Source organism: Homo sapiens, chromosome 15, assembly GCF_000001405.40.
Source record: "Homo sapiens chromosome 15, GRCh38.p14 Primary Assembly".
In the NCBI taxonomy this organism is placed as follows: Eukaryota; Metazoa; Chordata; class Mammalia; order Primates; family Hominidae; genus Homo; species Homo sapiens.
In genome coordinates this window covers 17,464,203-17,482,525 of record NC_000015.10, presented here as the reverse complement: position 1 = coordinate 17,482,525, position 18,323 = coordinate 17,464,203, and the positions used below count along the sequence as shown (strand labels likewise).

Below are 18,323 nucleotides of genomic sequence, written 5' to 3'. Positions count from 1 at the left end.
AGACCACAAAGGGCTCCAAATATCCATTGCAGATGTTACAAAAAGAGAGATTCAAAACTGCTCAACCAAAAGGTAGTTTCAACCATGTGATATGAATGCACACAGCACAGAGAAATTTCTCAAAATGCTTCTGTCTAGTTTTTATTTGAAGATATTGCCTTTTCTACCATAGGCCACAAACGTCTCCAAATATCCACATGCAGCTTCTACAAAAAGAGAGATTCAAAGCTTCTCAATCAAAAGATAGGTTCAACTCTGTGAGTTGAATGCACACTTCACAAAGAAGTTTCTCAGAGTGCTTCTGTGTGTTTTTATGTGAACATATTCCCTTTTCCACAATAGGCCTCAAAGCTCTCCAAATATCTGCAAGCAGAGTCTACAAAAAGAGAGATTCAAAACTGCTCAATGAAAAGATAGGTTCAACTCTGTGAGTTGAATGCACACCTCCAAAGAAGTTTCTCAGAATGCTTCCGTGTAGTTTTTATGTGAAGATATTTACTTTTCCACAATTGTCCCAAAGCTCTAAAATATCCACTTGCAGACCCTCTGAAAGAGTGTTTCAGAATTGCTCAATCAAAGGAGAGGTTCAATTCTGTGTGACCAATGCACTCATCACAAAAAGTTTGTCTGAATGCTTCTGTGTAGAATGGATTTGAAGATAATTCCTTTTCCACCACAGTCCGCAAAGGGCTAAAAATATCCATTTGCAGATTCCACAAAAAGAGAGATTCAGAACTGCTCAATCACAAGATAGGTTCAACTTGGTAATTTGAAAGCCCACATGACAAACAATTTCTGAGAATGTTTCTGTGTAGCTTTTAAGGGAAGATATTTGATTTTCAAATGTAGGCCTCAAAACGCTCCAAATATCCACTTGCAGATTGTACAAAAAGAGAGATTCAAAACTGGTCACTCAAAAGATAGTTCCAGCTCTGTGAGTTGAATGCAAACCTCACAAAGATGTTTCTCAGAAAGCTTCTGTATAGTTTTTATATGAAGATACTTGCTTTTCCACAATATACCTCAAATCTCCCCAATTATCCACTTGCAGATTCTACAAAAAGAGTGTTTCAAAACTGCTCAATCAAAATACACTTTCAACTCTGTGAGATCAATGCACACATCACAAAGAAGTTTCTCAGAATGCTTCTGTATAGTTTTTATCTGAAGTTATTTGCTTTTCCACGATAGGCCTCAAAGCACGCCAAATATCCACTTGCAGATCCTATGAAAAGAGTGTTCCAAAACTGGTCAATCATAAGATAGGTTTAACTCTGTGAGTTGAATGCACAATCACGAGGAAGTTTCTCAGAATGCCTCTGTGTAGTTTTTATTTGGAGGTATTTCCTTTTCCACCCTAGGTAGCAAAGGGCTCCAAATATCCCCTTGCAGATTCTGCAAAATGAGAGATTCAAAACTGCTCAATCAAAAGATAGGTTCAGCTCTGTGAGTTGAATGCTCACATAACAAAGAAGTTTCTCACAGTATTTCTGTGTAGTTTTTATTTGAAGATATTTCCTTTTCCACCATAGGCCACAAAGGGCTCCAAATATCCACTTGCAGATTGTAAAAAAAGAGAGATTCAAAACTGGTCACTCAAAAGATAGGTTCAGCTCTGTGAGTTGAATGCACACATCAAAAAGAAGTTTCTTAGAGTGCCTCTATGTAGATTTTATGTGAAGATATTTGCTTTTCCACTTTAGGTCTCAAAGCGCTCCAAATATCCACGTGCAGATTCTAAAAAAAGAGAGATTCTAAGCTACTCCATCAAAAGATAGGTTCAGCTCTGTGAGTTGAATTCACACATCACAAAGAAGTTTCTAGGAGTGCTTCTGTGTAGTTGTTATGTGAAGATATTTGCTTTTCCACAGTAGGCCTCAAATCGCTCTACATATCCACTTGCAGTTTCTACAAAAAAGAGTGTTTCCAAACTGCTCCATCATAAGACACGTTGAACTCTGAGAGTTGAATGCACACATCACAAAGAAGCTTCTCAGAATGCTTCTGTGTGGTTTTAATTTGAAGATGTTTCCTTTTCCAAAACAGGCCTCAAAACTCTCCATATATCCCCCTGGTTATTCTGCAAAAAGAGGGTTTCAAAACTACTCAATAAAAAGGAAGATTCAACTCTGTGTGAGGAACGCATTCCTCACAAAGAAGTCTCTCTGAAAGCTTCTGTGTAGTTTTTATATGAAGATATTTCCTTTTGCACCACAGCGTGCAAACAGCTCCAAACTTCCACTTGCAGATTCTACAAAAAGAGATATTCAAAACTGTACAATCAAAAGATAGTTTCAACTCTGCGTGTTCAATGCACACATCACAAAGGACTTTCTCTGAATGCTTCTCTGTAGTGTTTGTTTATGTGAAGATATTTGCTTTTCCACTATAGGGTGAAACAGGGCTCCAGGTATCAACTTGCAGATTCTGCAAAAAGGAGATTCAAAACAGCTAAATCGAAAGATAACTTCAACTATGTGAGTAGAATGCACACACAAAAAAGAAGTTTCTCAGAATGCCTCTGTGTAGTTTTTATGTGAAGATATTTGATTTTCCACATTAGGCCTCAAAGCGCTCCAAATATCCACTTGTAGACTCTACAGGAAGACTCTTTCGAAACTGCCCTATCAAAAGAAACGTCCAACACTGTGAGATGCATGCACACATCACAAAGAAGTTTCTCAGAATGCTTCTTTGTAGTTTTCATGTGAAGATATTTCCTTTTCCAAAGAAGGCCACAAACTACTCCCAATATCCACTTCCAGGTTCTACAAAATGAGTGTTTCAAAACTGCTCAGTCATTAGATAGGTTCAACTCTGTGAGATGAATGCACACATCACAAAGAAGTTTTTCGGAATGCTTCTATATAGTTTTTATGTGAAGGTGTTTCCTTTTCCACCACAGGTTGCAAAAGGGCTCCAAATATCCACTTGCAGATTCGACCAAAAGAGAGATTCAAAACTGCTCAATGATAAGTCCAACTCTGTGGGTTGAATCCATGCCTCACAGAGAAGTTTCTCAGAATGCTTCTCTGTAGTTTCTATGTGAAGATATTTCCTTTTTCACAATAGGCCTCAAGCTTTCCAAATATCCACTTGCAGATTCTGCAAAAAGAGAGATACAAAACTGCTCTATCAAAAGATAGGTTCGACTCTGGGAGTTCAATGCAATACATCACAAAGAAGTTTCTCAGAATGCTTCTGCGTAGTTTTTATGTGAAGATGTTCTGTTTTCTACCATAGGGCGAAATGGGGCTCCAAATCTCTACTTGCATTTTCTACAAAAGGAGAGATTCTAAGCTGCTCAATCAAAAGATAGGTTCAACACTGTTAGTTGAATGCACACATCCCAAAGAAGTCTCTGAGAATGCTTCTGTGTAGTTTTTATGTGAAGATATTTGCTTTTCCACAATAGGCCTCAAATCGTTCTAAATATCCACTTGCAGGCTCTACAAAAAGAGTGTTTCCAAATTGCTCAATCATAAGGTAGGTTCAACTCTGAGAGTTGAATGCACACATCATAAAGAAGTTTCTCAGAATGGTTCTGTGTAGTTTTACTTTGAAGATATTTCATTTTCCAAAACAGGCCCCAAAGCTCTCCAAATATCCACTTGGTGATTCTGCAAAAAGAGCGTTTCAATACTGCTCCATAAAAAGAAAGGTTCAGCTCTGTGTGAGGAATGCATTCATCACAAGAAGTTTCTCTGAATGCTTCTTTGTAGTTTTTATATGAAGATAGTTCCCTTTCCACCACAGGGTGCAAAGAGCTCCAAATATCCACTTGCAGATTCTACAGAAAATGAGATATGAAAGTGCTCAAGGAAAAGATAAGTTCAACTCTGTGAGTTGCATGCACACCTCACAAAGAAGAATCTCAAAATGCTTCTGCATAGTTTATATGTGAAGATATTTCCTTTTCCAAATAGGCCTCCAAGTTCTCCAGATATCCACTCGCAGATTCTGCAAAAAGAGAGACTCAAAACTGCTGAATCAAAACATAGTTTCAACTCTGTGACTTCATTGCACACCTCACAAAGATGTTTCTCAGAATGCTTCTGTGCAGTTTTTATATAAAGATATCTCCTTCTCCAAAATAGATCTCAAAGTTATCCAAGTATTCACTTCCAGATTCTATGGAAAGATTATCTCAAAACTGCTCAATCAAACCAAAGGTTCAACTCTGTGAGATAAATGCACACATCACAAAGAAGTTTCTCAGAATACTTCCGTGTAGTTTTTATTTGAGGATAGTTCCTTTTCCACCACAGGACCACAAAGGGCTCCAAATATCCATTGCAGATGGTACAAACAGAGAGACTCGAAACTGCTCAATCAAAAGGTAGTTTCAACCATGTGATATGAATGCACACAGCACAGAGAATTTTCTCAAAATGCTTCTGTCTAGTTTTTATTTGAAGATATATCCTTTTCTACCATAGGCCACAAACGTCTCCAAATATCCACATGCAGCTTCTACAAAAAGAGAGATTCAAAACTTCTCCATCAAAAGATAGGTTCAACTCTGTGAGTTGAATGCACACCTCACAAAGAAGTTTCTCAGAGTGCTTCTGTGTGTTTTTATGTGAAGATGATTCCTTTTCCACAATAGGCCTCAAAGCTCTCCAAGTATCTGCAAGCAGAGTCTACAAAAAGAGAGATTCAAAACTGCTCAATGAAAAGATAGGTTCAACTCTGTGAGTTGAATGCACACCTCCAAAGAAGTTTCTCAGAATGCTTCCGTGTAGTTTCTATGTGAAGATATTTACTTTTCCACAATTGTCCCAAAGCTCTAAAATATCCACTTGCAGACCCTCTGAAAGAGTGTTTCAGAATTGCTCAATCAAAGGAGAGGTTCAATTCTGTGTGACCAATGCACTCATCACAAAAAGTTTGTCTGAATGCTTCTGTGTAGAATGGATTTGAAGATAATTCCTTTTCCACCACAGTCCGCAAAGGGCTAAAAATATCCATTTGCAGATTCCACAAAAAGAGAGATTCAGAACTGCTCAATCACAAGATAGGTTCAACTTGGTAATTTGAAAGCCCACATGACAAACAATTTCTGAGAATGTTTCTGTGTAGCTTTTAAGGGAAGATATTTGATTTTCAAATGTAGGCCTCAAAACGCTCCAAATATCCACTTGCAGATTGTACAAAAAGAGAGATTCAAAACTGGTCACTCAAAAGATAGTTCCAGCTCTGTGAGTTGAATGCAAACCTCACAAAGATGTTTCTCAGAAAGCTTCTGTATAGTTTTTATATGAAGATACTTGCTTTTCCACAATATACCTCAAATCTCCCCAATTATCCACTTGCAGATTCTACAAAAAGAGTGTTTCAAAACTGCTCAATCAAAATACACTTTCAACTCTGTGAGATCAATGCACACATCACAAAGAAGTTTCTCAGAATGCTTCTGTATAGTTTGCTTTTCCACGATAGGCCTCAAAGCACGCCAAATATCCACTTGCAGATCCTATGAAAAGAGTGTTCCAAAACTGGTCAATCATAAGATAGGTTTAACTCTGTGAGTTGAATGCACAATCACGAGGAAGTTTCTCAGAATGCCTCTGTGTGCTTTTCATTTGAAGGTATTTCCTTTTCCACCATAGGCCGCAAAGGGCTCCAAATATCCCCTTGCAGATTCTGCAAAATGAGAGATTCAAAACTGCTCAATCAAAAGATAGGTTCAACTCTGTGAGTTGAATGCTCACATAACAAAGAAGTTTCTCACAGTATTTCTGTGTAGTTTTTATTTGAAGATATTTCCTTTTCCACCATAGGCCGCAAAGGGCTCCAAATATCCACTTGCAGATTGTATAAAAAGAGAGATTCAAAACTGGTCACTCGAAGGATCGGTTCAGCTCTGTGAGGTGAATGCACACATCAAAAAGAAGTTTCTTAGAGTGCCTCTATGTAGATTTTATGTGAAGATATTTGCTTTTCCACTTTAGGTCTCAAAGCGCTCCAAATATCCACGTGCAGATTCTAAAAAAAGAGAGATTCTAAGCTACTCCATCAAAAGATAGGTTCAGCTCTGTGAGTTGAATTCACACATCACAAAGAAGTTTCTAGGAGTGCTTCTGTGTAGTTGTTATGTGAAGATATTTGCTTTTCCACAGTAGGCCTCAAATCGCTCTACATATCCACTTGCAGTTTCTACAAAAAAGAGTGTTTCCAAACTGCTCCATCATAAGACACGTTGAACTCTGAGAGTTGAATGCACACATCACAAAGAAGCTTCTCAGAATGCTTTCTGTGTGGTTTTAATTTGAAGATATTTCCTTTTCCAAAACAGGCCTCAAAGCTCTCCAAATATCCACCTGGTTATTCTGCAAAAAGAGGGTTTCAATACTACTCAATAAAAAGGAAGATTCAACTCTGTGTGAGGAACGCATTCATCACAAAGAAGTCTCTCTGAATGCTTCTGTGTAGTTTTTATATGAAAATATTTCCTTTTACACCACAGGGGGCAAAGAGCTCCAAACTTCCACTTACAGATACTACAAAAAGAGATATTCAAAACTGTACAATCAAAAGATACTTTCAACTCTGCGTGTTCAATGCACACATCACAAAGAACTTTCTCTGAATGCTTCTCTGTAGTGTTTGTTTATGTGAAGATATTTGCTTTTCCACTATAGGGTGAAACAGGACTCCAAGCCTCAACTTGCAGATTCTGCAAAAAGGAGATTCAAAACAGCTAAATCGAAAGATGACTTCAACTATGTGAGTTGAATGCACACACAAAAAAGAAGTTTCTCAGAATGCCTCTGTGTAGTTTTTATGTGAAGATATTTGATTTTCCACATTAGGCCTCAAAGCGCTCTAAATATCCACTTGCAGATTCTAGAAAAAGAGTGTTTCAAAACTGCCCTATCAAAAGAAACGTCCAACACTGTGAGATGAATGCACACATCACAAAGAAAGTTTCTCAGAATGCTTCTTTGTAGTTTTCATGTGAAGATATTTCCTTTTCCAAAGAAGGCCACAAACTACTCCCAATATCCACTTCCAGGTTCTACAAAATGAGTGTTTCAAAACTGCTCAATCATTAGATAGGTTCAACTCTGTGAGATGAATGCACACATCACAAAGAAGTTTTTCGGAATGCTTCTATATAGTTTTTATTTGAAGGTATTTCCTTTTCCACCCTAGGTTGCAAAGGGCTCCAAATATCCACTTGCAGATTCGACAAAAAGAGAGATTCAAAACTGCTCAATGATAAGTCCAACTCTGTGGGTTGAATCCATGCCTCACAAAGAAGTTTCTCAGAATGCTTCTCTGTAGTTTTTATGTGAAGATATTTCCTTTTTCACAATAGGCCTCAAGCTTTCCAAATATCCACTTGCAGATTCCGCAAAAAAGAGAGATACAAAAGTGCTCTATCAAAAGATAGGTTCGACTCTGGGAGTTCAATGCAAACATCACAAAGAAGTTTCTCAGAATGCTTCTGTGTAGTTTTTATGTGAAGATGTTCTGTTTTCTACCATAGGGCAAAATGGGGCTCCAAATATCTACTTGCATTTTCTACAAAAAGAGAGATTCTAAGCTGCTCAATCAAAAGATACGTTCAACACTGTTAGTTGAATGCACACATGCCAAAGAAGTTTCTCAGAATGCTTCTGTGTAGTTTTTATGTGAAGATATTTGCTTTTCCACAATAGGCCTCAAATCGTTCTAAATATCCACTTGCAGGCTCTACAAAAAGAGTGTTTCCAAATTGCTCAATCATAAGGTAGGTTCAACTCTGAGAGTTGAATGCACACATCATAAAGAAGTTTCTCAGAATGGTTCTGTGTAGTTTTACTTTGAAGATATTTCATTTTCCAAAACAGGCCCCAAAGCTCTCCAAATATCCACTTGGTGATTCTGCAAAAAGAGCGTTTCAATACTGCTCCATAAAAAGAAAGGTTCAGCTCTGTGTGAGGAATGCATTCATCACAAGAAGTTTCTCTGAATGCTTCTTTGTAGTTTTTATATGAAGATAGTTCCCTTTCCACCACAGGGTGCAAAGAGCTCCAAATATCCACTTGCAGATTCTACAGAAAATGAGATACGAAAGTGCTCAAGGAAAAGATAAGTTCAACTCTGTGAGTTGCATGCACACCTCACAAAGAAGAATCTCAAAATGCTTCTGCGTAGTTTTTATGTGAAGATATTTCCTTTTCCAAGTAGGCCTCAACGTTCTCCAGATATCCACTCGCAGATTCTGCAAAAAGAGAGACTCAAAACTGCTGAATCAAAAGATAGTTTCAACTCTGTGACTTCATTGCACACCTCACAAAGATGTTTCTCAGAATGCTTCTGTGCAGTTTTTATATAAAGATATCTCCTTCTCCAAAATAGATCTCAAGGTTCTCCAAATATTCACTTCCAGATTCTATGGAAAGATTGTCTCAAAACTGCTCAATCAAACCAAAGGTTCAACCCTATGAGATGAATGCACACATCACAAGGAAGTTTCTCGGAATACTTCTGTGTAGTTTTTATTTGAGGATAGTTCCTTTTCCACCACAGACCACAAAGGGCTCCAAATATCCATTGCAGATGTTACAAAAAGAGAGATTCAAAACTGCTCAACCAAAAGGTAGTTTCAACCATGTGATATGAATGCACACAGCACAGAGAAATTTCTCAAAATGCTTCTGTCTAGTTTTTATTTGAAGATATTGCCTTTTCTACCATAGGCCACAAACGTCTCCAAATATCCACATGCAGCTTCTACAAAAAGAGAGATTCAAAGCTTCTCAATCAAAAGATAGGTTCAACTCTGTGAGTTGAATGCACACTTCACAAAGAAGTTTCTCAGAGTGCTTCTGTGTGTTTTTATGTGAAGATGATTCCTTTTCCACAATAGGCCTCAAAGCTCTCCAAGTATCTGCAAGCAGAGTCTACAAAAAGAGAGATTCAAAACTGCTCAATGAAAAGATAGGTTCAACTCTGTGAGTTGAATGCACACCTCCAAAGAAGTTTCTCAGAATGCTTTCCGTGTAGTTTCTATGTGAAGATATTTACTTTTCCACAATTGTCCCAAAGCTCTAAAATATCCACTTGCAGACCCTCTGAAAGAGTGTTTCAGAATTGCTCAATCAAAGGAGAGGTTCAATTCTGTGTGACCAATGCACTCATCACAAAAAGTTTGTCTGAATGCTTCTGTGTAGAATGGATTTGAAGATAATTCCTTTTCCACCACAGTCCGCAAATGGCTAAAAATATCCACTTGCAGATTCCACAAAAAGAGAGATTCAAAACTGCTCAATCACAAGGTAGGTTCAACTTGGTAATTTGAAAGCACACATGACAAACAATTTCTGAGAATGTTTCTGTGTAGCTTTTAAGGGAAGATATTTGATTTTCAAATGTAGGCCTCAAAACGCTCCAAATATCCACTTGCAGATTGTACAAAAAGAGAGATTCAAAACTGGTCACTCAAAAGATAGTTCCAGCTCTGTGAGTTGAATGCAAACCTCACAAAGATGTTTCTCAGAAAGCTTCTGTATAGTTTTTATATGAAGATACTTGCTTTTCCACAATATACCTCAAATCTCCCCCAATTATCCACTTGCAGATTCTACAAAAAGAGTGTTTCAAAACTGCTCAATCAAAATACACTTTCAACTCTGTGAGATCAATGCACACATCACAAAGAAGTTTCTCAGAATGCTTCTGTATAGTTTTTATCTGAAGTTATTTGCTTTTCCACGATAGGCCTCAAAGCACGCCAAATATCCACTTGCAGATCCTATGAAAAGAGTGTTCCAAAACTGGTCAATCATAAGATAGGTTTAACTCTGTGAGTTGAATGCACAATCACGAGGAAGTTTCTCAGAATGCCTCTGTGTGCTTTTCATTTGAAGGTATTTCCTTTTCCACCATAGGCCGCAAAGGGCTCCAAATATCCCCTTGCAGATTCTGCAAAATGAGAGATTCAAAACTGCTCAATCAAAAGATAGGTTCAACTCTGTGAGTTGAATGCTCACATAACAAAGAAGTTTCTCACAGTATTTCTGTGTAGTTTTTATTTGAAGATATTTCCTTTTCCACCATAGGCCGCAAAGGGCTCCAAATATCCACTTGCAGATTGTATAAAAAGAGAGATTCAAAACTGGTCACTCGAAGGATCGGTTCAGCTCTGTGAGGTGAATGCACACATCAAAAAGAAGTTTCTTAGAGTGCCTCTATGTAGATTTTATGTGAAGATATTTGCTTTTCCACTTTAGGTCTCAAAGCGCTCCAAATATCCACGTGCAGATTCTAAAAAAAGAGAGATTCTAAGCTACTCCATCAAAAGATAGGTTCAGCTCTGTGAGTTGAATTCACACATCACAAAGAAGTTTCTAGGAGTGCTTCTGTGTAGTTGTTATGTGAAGATATTTGCTTTTCCACAGTAGGCCTCAAATCGCTCTACATATCCACTTGCAGTTTCTACAAAAAAGAGTGTTTCCAAACTGCTCCATCATAAGACACGTTGAACTCTGAGAGTTGAATGCACACATCACAAAGAAGCTTCTCAGAATGCTTCTGTGTGGTTTTAATTTGAAGATATTTGCTTTTCCAAAACAGGCCTCAAAGCTCTCCAAATATCCACCTGGTTATTCTGCAAAAAGAGGGTTTCAATACTACTCAATAAAAAGGAAGATTCAACTCTGTGTGAGGAACGCATTCATCACAAAGAAGTCTTTCTGAATGCTTCTGTGTAGCTTTTATATGAAGATATTTCCTTTTACACCACAGGGTGCAAACAGCTCCAAACTTCCACTTGCAGATTCTACAAAAAGACGTATTCAAAACTGTACAATCAAAAGATAGTGTCAACTCTGCATGTTCAATGCACACATCACAAAGGACTTTCTCTGAATGCTTCTCTGTAGGGTTTGTTTATGTGAAGACATTTGCTTTTCCACTATAGGGTGAAACAGGGCTCCAAGTATCAACTTGCAGATTCTGCAAAAAGGAGATTCAAAACAGCTAAATCCAAAGATTACTTCAACTATGTGAGTTGAATGCACACACAAAAAAAGAAGTTTCTCAGAATGCCTTTGTGTAGTTCTTATGTGAAGATATTTGATTTTCCACAGTAGACCTCAAAGTGCTCCAAATATCTACTTTCAGAATCTACAAGAAGAGAGATTCAAAACTGCTCCATCAAAAGATAGGTTCACCTCCGTGACTTGAATGCACACATCACAAAGATGTTTCTCAGAATGCTTCTTTGTAGTTTTTATGTGAAGATATTCCCTTTTCCAAAGAAGGCCACAAAGTACTCCCAATATCCACTTGCAGGTTCTACAAAATGAGTGTTTCAAAACCGCTCAATCATTAGATAGGTTCAACTCTGTGAGACGAATGCACACGTCACAAAGAAGTTTTACGGAATGCTTCTATATAGTTTTTATTTGAAGGTATTTCCTTTTCCACCCTAGGTTGCAAAGGGCTCCAAATATCCACTTGCAGATTCGACAAAAAGAGAGATTCAAAACTGCTCAATGATAAGTCCAACTGCTGTGGGTTGAATCCATGCCTCACAAAGAAGTTTCTCAGAATGCTTCTCTGTAGTTTTTATGTGAAGATATTTCCTTTTTCACAATAGGCCTCAAGCTTTCCAAATATCCACTTGCAGATTCCGCAAAAAGAGAGATACAAAAGTGCTCTATCAAAAGATAGGTTCGACTCTGGGAGTTCAATGCAAACATCACAAAGAAGTTTCTCAGAATGCTTCTGTGTAGATTTTATGTGAAGATGTTTTGTTTTCTACCATAGGGCAAAATGGGGCTCCAAATATCTACTTGCATTTTCTACAAAAAGAGAGATTCTAAGCTGCTCAATCAAAAGATACGTTCAACACTGTTAGTTGAATGCACACATGCCAAAGAAGTTTCTCAGAATGCTTCTGTGTAGTTTTTATGTGAAGATATTTGCTTTTCCACAATAGGCCTCAAATCGTTCTAAATATCCACTTGCAGGCTCTACAAAAAGAGTGTTTCCAAATTGCTCAATCATAAGGTAGGTTCAACTCTGAGAGTTGAATGCACACATCATAAAGAAGTTTCTCAGAATGGTTCTGTGTAGTTTTACTTTGAAGATATTTCATTTTCCAAAACAGGCCCCAAAGCTCTCCAAATATCCACTTGGTGATTCTGCAAAAAGAGCGTTTCAATACTGCTCCATAAAAAGAAAGGTTCAGCTCTGTGTGAGGAATGCATTCATCACAAGAAGTTTCTCTGAATGCTTCTTTGTAGTTTTTATATGAAGATAGTTCCCTTTCCACCACAGGGTGCAAAGAGCTCCAAATATCCACTTGCAGATTCTACAGAAAATGAGATATGAAAGTGCTCAAGGAAAAGATAAGTTCAACTCTGTGAGTTGCATGCACACCTCACAAAGAAGAATCTCAAAATGCTTCTGCGTAGTTTTTATGTGAAGATATTTCCTTTTCCAAGTAGGCCTCAACGTTCTCCAGATATCCACTCGCAGATTCTGCAAAAAGAGAGACTCAAAACTGCTGAATCAAAAGATAGTTTCAACTCTGTGACTTCATTGCACACCTCACAAAGATGTTTCTCAGAATGCTTCTGTGCAGTTTTTATATAAAGATATCTCCTTCTCCAAAATAGATCTCAAGGTTCTCCAAATATTCACTTCCAGATTCTATGGAAAGATTGTCTCAAAACTGCTCAATCAAACCAAAGGTTCAACCCTATGAGATGAATGCACACATCACAAGGAAGTTTCTCGGAATACTTCCGTGTAGTTTTTATTTGAGGATAGTTCCTTTTCCACCACAGACCACAAAGGGCTCCAAATATCCATTGCAGATGGTACAAACAGAGAGACTCGAAACTGCTCAATCAAAAGGTAGTTTCAACCATGTGATATGAATGCACACAGCACAGAGAATTTTCTCAAAATGCTTCTGTCTAGTTTTTATTTGAAGATATTGCCTTTTCTACCATAGGCCACAAACGTCTCCAAATATCCACATGCAGCTTCTACAAAAAGAGAGATTCAAAGCTTCTCAATCAAAAGATAGGTTCAACTCTGTGAGTTGAATGCACACTTCACAAAGAAGTTTCTCAGAGTGCTTCTGTGTGTTTTTATGTGAAGATGATTCCTTTTCCACAATAGGCCTCAAAGCTCTCCAAGTATCTGCAAGCAGAGTCTACAAAAAGAGAGATTCAAAACTGCTCAATGAAAAGATAGGTTCAACTCTGTGAGTTGAATGCACACCTCCAAAGAAGTTTCTCAGAATGCTTTCCGTGTAGTTTCTATGTGAAGATATTTACTTTTCCACAATTGTCCCAAAGCTCTAAAATATCCACTTGCAGACCCTCTGAAAGAGTGTTTCAGAATTGCTCAATCAAAGGAGAGGTTCAATTCTGTGTGACCAATGCACTCATCACAAAAAGTTTGTCTGAATGCTTCTGTGTAGAATGGATTTGAAGATAATTCCTTTTCCACCACAGTCCGCAAAGGGCTAAAAATATCCATTTGCAGATTCCACAAAAAGAGAGATTCAGAACTGCTCAATCACAAGATAGGTTCAACCTGGTAATTTGAAAGCCCACATGACAAACAATTTCTGAGAATGTTTCTGTGTAGATTTTAAGGGAAGATATTTTATTTTCAAATGTAGGCCTCAAATCGCTCCAAATATCCACTTGCAGATTGAACAAAAAGAGAGATTCAAAACTGGTCACTCAAGAGATAGGTCCAGCTCTGTGAGTTGAATGCAAACCTCACAAAGATGTTTCTCAGAAGGCTTCTGTATAGTTTTTATATGAAGATATTTGCTTTTCCACAACATACCTCAAATCTCTCCAATTATCCACTTGCAGATTCTACAGAAGGAGTGTTTTAAAACTGCTCAATCAAAATACACTTTCAACTTTGTGAGATCAATGCACACATCACAAAGAAGTTTCTCAGAATGCTTCTGTATAGTTTGCTTTTCCACGATAGGCCTCAAAGCACGCCAAATATCCACTTGCAGATCCTATGAAAAGAGTGTTCCAAAACTGGTCAATCATAAGATAGGTTTAACTCTGTGAGTTGAATGCACAATCACGAGGAAGTTTCTCAGAATGCCTCTGTGTGCTTTTCATTTGAAGGTATTTCCTTTTCCACCATAGGCTGCAAAGGGCTCCAAATATCCCCTTGCAGATTCTGCAAAATGAGAGATTCAAAACTGCTCAATCAAAAGATAGGTTCAACTCTGTGAGTTGAATGCTCACATAACAAAGAAGTTTCTCACAGTATTTCTGTGTAGTTTTTATTTGAAGATATTTCCTTTTCCACCATAGGCCGCAAAGGGCTCCAAATATCCACTTGCAGATTGTACAAAAAGAGAGATTCAAAACTGGTCACTCAAAGGATCGGTTCAGCTCTGTGAGGTGAATGCACACATCAAAAAGAAGTTTCTTAGAGTGCCTCTATGTAGATTTTATGTGAAGATATTTGCTTTTCCACTTTAGGTCTCAAAGCGCTCCAAATATCCACGTGCAGATTCTAAAAAAAGAGAGATTCTAAGCTACTCCATCAAAAGATAGGTTCAGCTCTGTGAGTTGAATTCACACATCACAAAGAAGTTTCTAGGAGTGCTTCTGTGTAGTTGTTATGTGAAGATATTTGCTTTTCCACAGTAGGCCTCAAATCGCTCTACATATCCACTTGCAGTTTCTACAAAAAAGAGTGTTTCCAAACTGCTCCATCATAAGACACGTTGAACTCTGAGAGTTGAATGCACACATCACAAAGAAGCTTCTCAGAATGCTTCTGTGTGGTTTTAATTTGAAGATATTTGCTTTTCCAAAACAGGCCTCAAAGCTCTCCAAATATCCACCTGGTTATTCTGCAAAAAGAGGGTTTCAATACTACTCAATAAAAAGGAAGATTCAACTCTGTGTGAGGAACGCATTCATCACAAAGAAGTCTTTCTGAATGCTTCTGTGTAGCTTTTATATGAAGATATTTCCTTTTACACCACAGGGTGCAAACAGCTCCAAACTTCCACTTGCAGATTCTACAAAAAGACGTATTCAAAACTGTACAATCAAAAGATAGTGTCAACTCTGCATGTTCAATGCACACATCACAAAGGACTTTCTCTGAATGCTTCTCTGTAGGGTTTGTTTATGTGAAGATATTTGCTTTTCCACTATAGGGTGAAACAGGGCTCCAAGTATCAACTTGCAGATTCTGCAAAAAGGAGATTCAAAACAGCTAAATCCAAAGATTACTTCAACTATGTGAGTTGAATGCACACACAAAAAAGAAGTTTCTCAGAATGCCTCTGTGTAGTTTTTATGTGAAGATATTTGATTTTCCACATTAGGCCTCAAAGCGCTCTAAATATCCACTTGCAGATTCTAGAAAAAGAGTGTTTCAAAACTGCCCTATCAAAAGAAACGTCCAACACTGTGAGATGAATGCACACATCACAAAGAAGTTTCTCAGAATGCTTCTTTGTAATTTTTATGTGAAGATATTCCCTTTTCCAAAGAAGGCCACAAAGTACTCCCAATATCCACTTGCAGGTTCTACAAAATGAGTGTTTCAAAACCGCTCAATCATTAGATAGGTTCAACTCTGTGAGACGAATGCACACGTCACAAAGAAGTTTTACGGAATGCTTCTATATAGTTTTTATTTGAAGGTATTTCCTTTTCCACCCTAGGTTGCAAAGGGCTCCAAATATCCACTTGCAGATTCGACAAAAAGAGAGATTCAAAACTGCTCAATGATAAGTCCAACTCTGTGGGTTGAATCCATGCCTCACAAAGAAGTTTCTCAGAATGCTTCTCTGTAGTTTTTATGTGAAGATATTTCCTTTTTCACAATAGGCCTCAAGCTTTCCAAATATCCACTTGCAGATTCCGCAAAAAGAGAGATACAAAAGTGCTCTATCAAAAGATAGGTTCGACTCTGGGAGTTCAATGCAAACATCACAAAGAAGTTTCTCAGAATGCTTCTGTGTAGATTTTATGTGAAGATGTTTTGTTTTCTACCATAGGGCAAAATGGGGCTCCAAATATCTACTTGCATTTTCTACAAAAAGAGAGATTCTAAGCTGCTCAATCAAAAGATACGTTCAACACTGTTAGTTGAATGCACACATGCCAAAGAAGTTTCTCAGAATGCTTCTGTGTAGTTTTTATGTGAAGATATTTGCTTTTCCACAATAGGCCTCAAATCGTTCTAAATATCCACTTGCAGGCTCTACAAAAAGAGTGTTTCCAAATTGCTCAATCATAAGGTAGGTTCAACTCTGAGAGTTGAATGCACACATCATAAAGAAGTTTCTCAGAATGGTTCTGTGTAGTTTTACTTTGAAGATATTTCATTTTCCAAATCAGGCCCCAAAGCTCTCCAAATATCCACTTGGTGATTCTGCAAAAGGAGCGTTTCAATACTGCTCAATAAAAAGAAAGGCTTCAACTTCTGTGTGAGGAATGCATTCATCACAAAGAAGTTTCTCTGAATGCTTCTTTGTAGTTTTTATATGAAGATATTTCCCTTTCCACCACAGGGTGCAAAGAGCTCCAAATATCCACTTGCAGATTCCACAAAAAAAGAGATATGAAAGTGCTCCATGGAAAGATAAGTTCAACTCTGTGAGTTGAATGCACACCTCACAAAGAAGTATCTCAAAATGCTTCTGCGTAGTTTTTATGTGAAGATATTTCCTTTTCCAAGTAGGCCTCAACGTTCTCCAGATATCCACTCGCAGATTCTGCAAAAAGAGAGACTCAAAACTGCTGAATCAAAAGATAGTTTCAACTCTGTGACTTCATTGCACACCTCACAAAGATGTTTCTCAGAATGCTTCTGTGCAGTTTTTATATAAAGATATCTCCTTCTCCAAAATAGATCTCAAAGTTATCCAAGTATTCACTTCCAGATTCTATGGAAAGATTATCTCAAAACTGCTCAATCAAACCAAAGGTTCAACTCTGTGAGATAAATGCACACATCACAAAGAAGTTTCTCAGAATACTTCCGTGTAGTTTTTATTTGAGGATAGTTCCTTTTCCACCACAGACCACAAAGGGCTCCAAATATCCATTGCAGATGGTACAAACAGAGAGACTCGAAACTGCTCAATCAAAAGGTAGTTTCAACCATGTGATATGAATGCACACAGCACAGAGAATTTTCTCAAAATGCTTCTGTCTAGTTTTTATTTGAAGATATATCCTTTTCTACCATAGGCCACAAACGTCTCCAAATATCCACATGCAGCTTCTACAAAAAGAGAGATTCAAGACTTCTCCATCAAAAGATAGGTTCAACTCTGTGAGTTGAATGCACACCTCACAAAGAAGTTTCTCAGAGTGCTTCTGTGTGTTTTTATGTGAACATATTCCCTTTTCCACAATAGGCCTCAAAGCTCTCCAAATATCTGCAAGCAGAGTCTACAAAAAGAGAGATTCAAAACTGCTCAATGAAAAGATAGGTTCAACTCTGTGAGTTGAATGCACACCTCCAAAGAAGTTTCTCAGAATGCTTCCGTGTAGTTTCTATGTGAAGATATTTACTTTTCCACAATTGTCCCAAAGCTCTAAAATATCCACTTGCAGACCCTCTGAAAGAGTGTTTCAGAATTGCTCAATCAAAGGAGAGGTTCAATTCTGTGTGACCAATGCACTCATCACCAAGAAGTTTGTCTGAATGCTTTCTGTGTAGAATTGATTTGAAGATAATTCCTTTTCCACCACAGTCCGCAAAGGGCTAAAAATATCCACTTGCCGATTCCACAAAAAGAGAGATTCAAAACTGCTCAATCACAAGATAGGTTCAACTTGGTGATTTGAAAGCACACATGACAAACAATTTCTGAGAATGTTTGTGTTGTTTTTAAGGGAAGATATTTGATTTTCAAATGTAGGCCTCAAATCGCTCCAAATATGCACTTGCAGATTGTACAAAAAGAGAGTTTCAAAACTGGTCACTCAAAAGATAGGTCCAGCTCTGTGAGTTGAATGCAAACCTCACAAAGATGTTTCTCAGAAGGCTTCTGTATAATTTTTATATGAAGATATTTGCTTTTCCACAATATGCCTCAAATCTCCCCAATTATCCACTTGCAGATTCTACAAAAAGAGTGTTTCAAAACTGCTCAATCAAAATACACTTTCAACTCTGTGAGATCAATGCACACATCACAAAGAAGTTTCTCAGAATGCTTCTGTATAGTTTTTATCTGAAGTTATTTGCTTTCCCACGATAGGCCTCAAAGCACACCAAATATCCACTTGCAGATCCTATGAAAAGAGTGTTCCAAAACTGGTCAGTCATAAGATAGGTTTAATTCTGTGAGTTGA

General features: G+C 37.7%; 1 annotated feature.

The window, feature by feature from the left end:
- Nucleotides 1–18,323: part of a centromere (Linear centromere model derived predominantly from reads generated in PMID: 17803354. This region does not represent an actual centromere sequence, as long-range ordering of repeats and unmapped WGS contigs is not provided by the model. For details of model production, see http://arxiv.org/abs/1307.0035.) that runs on past both edges of the window.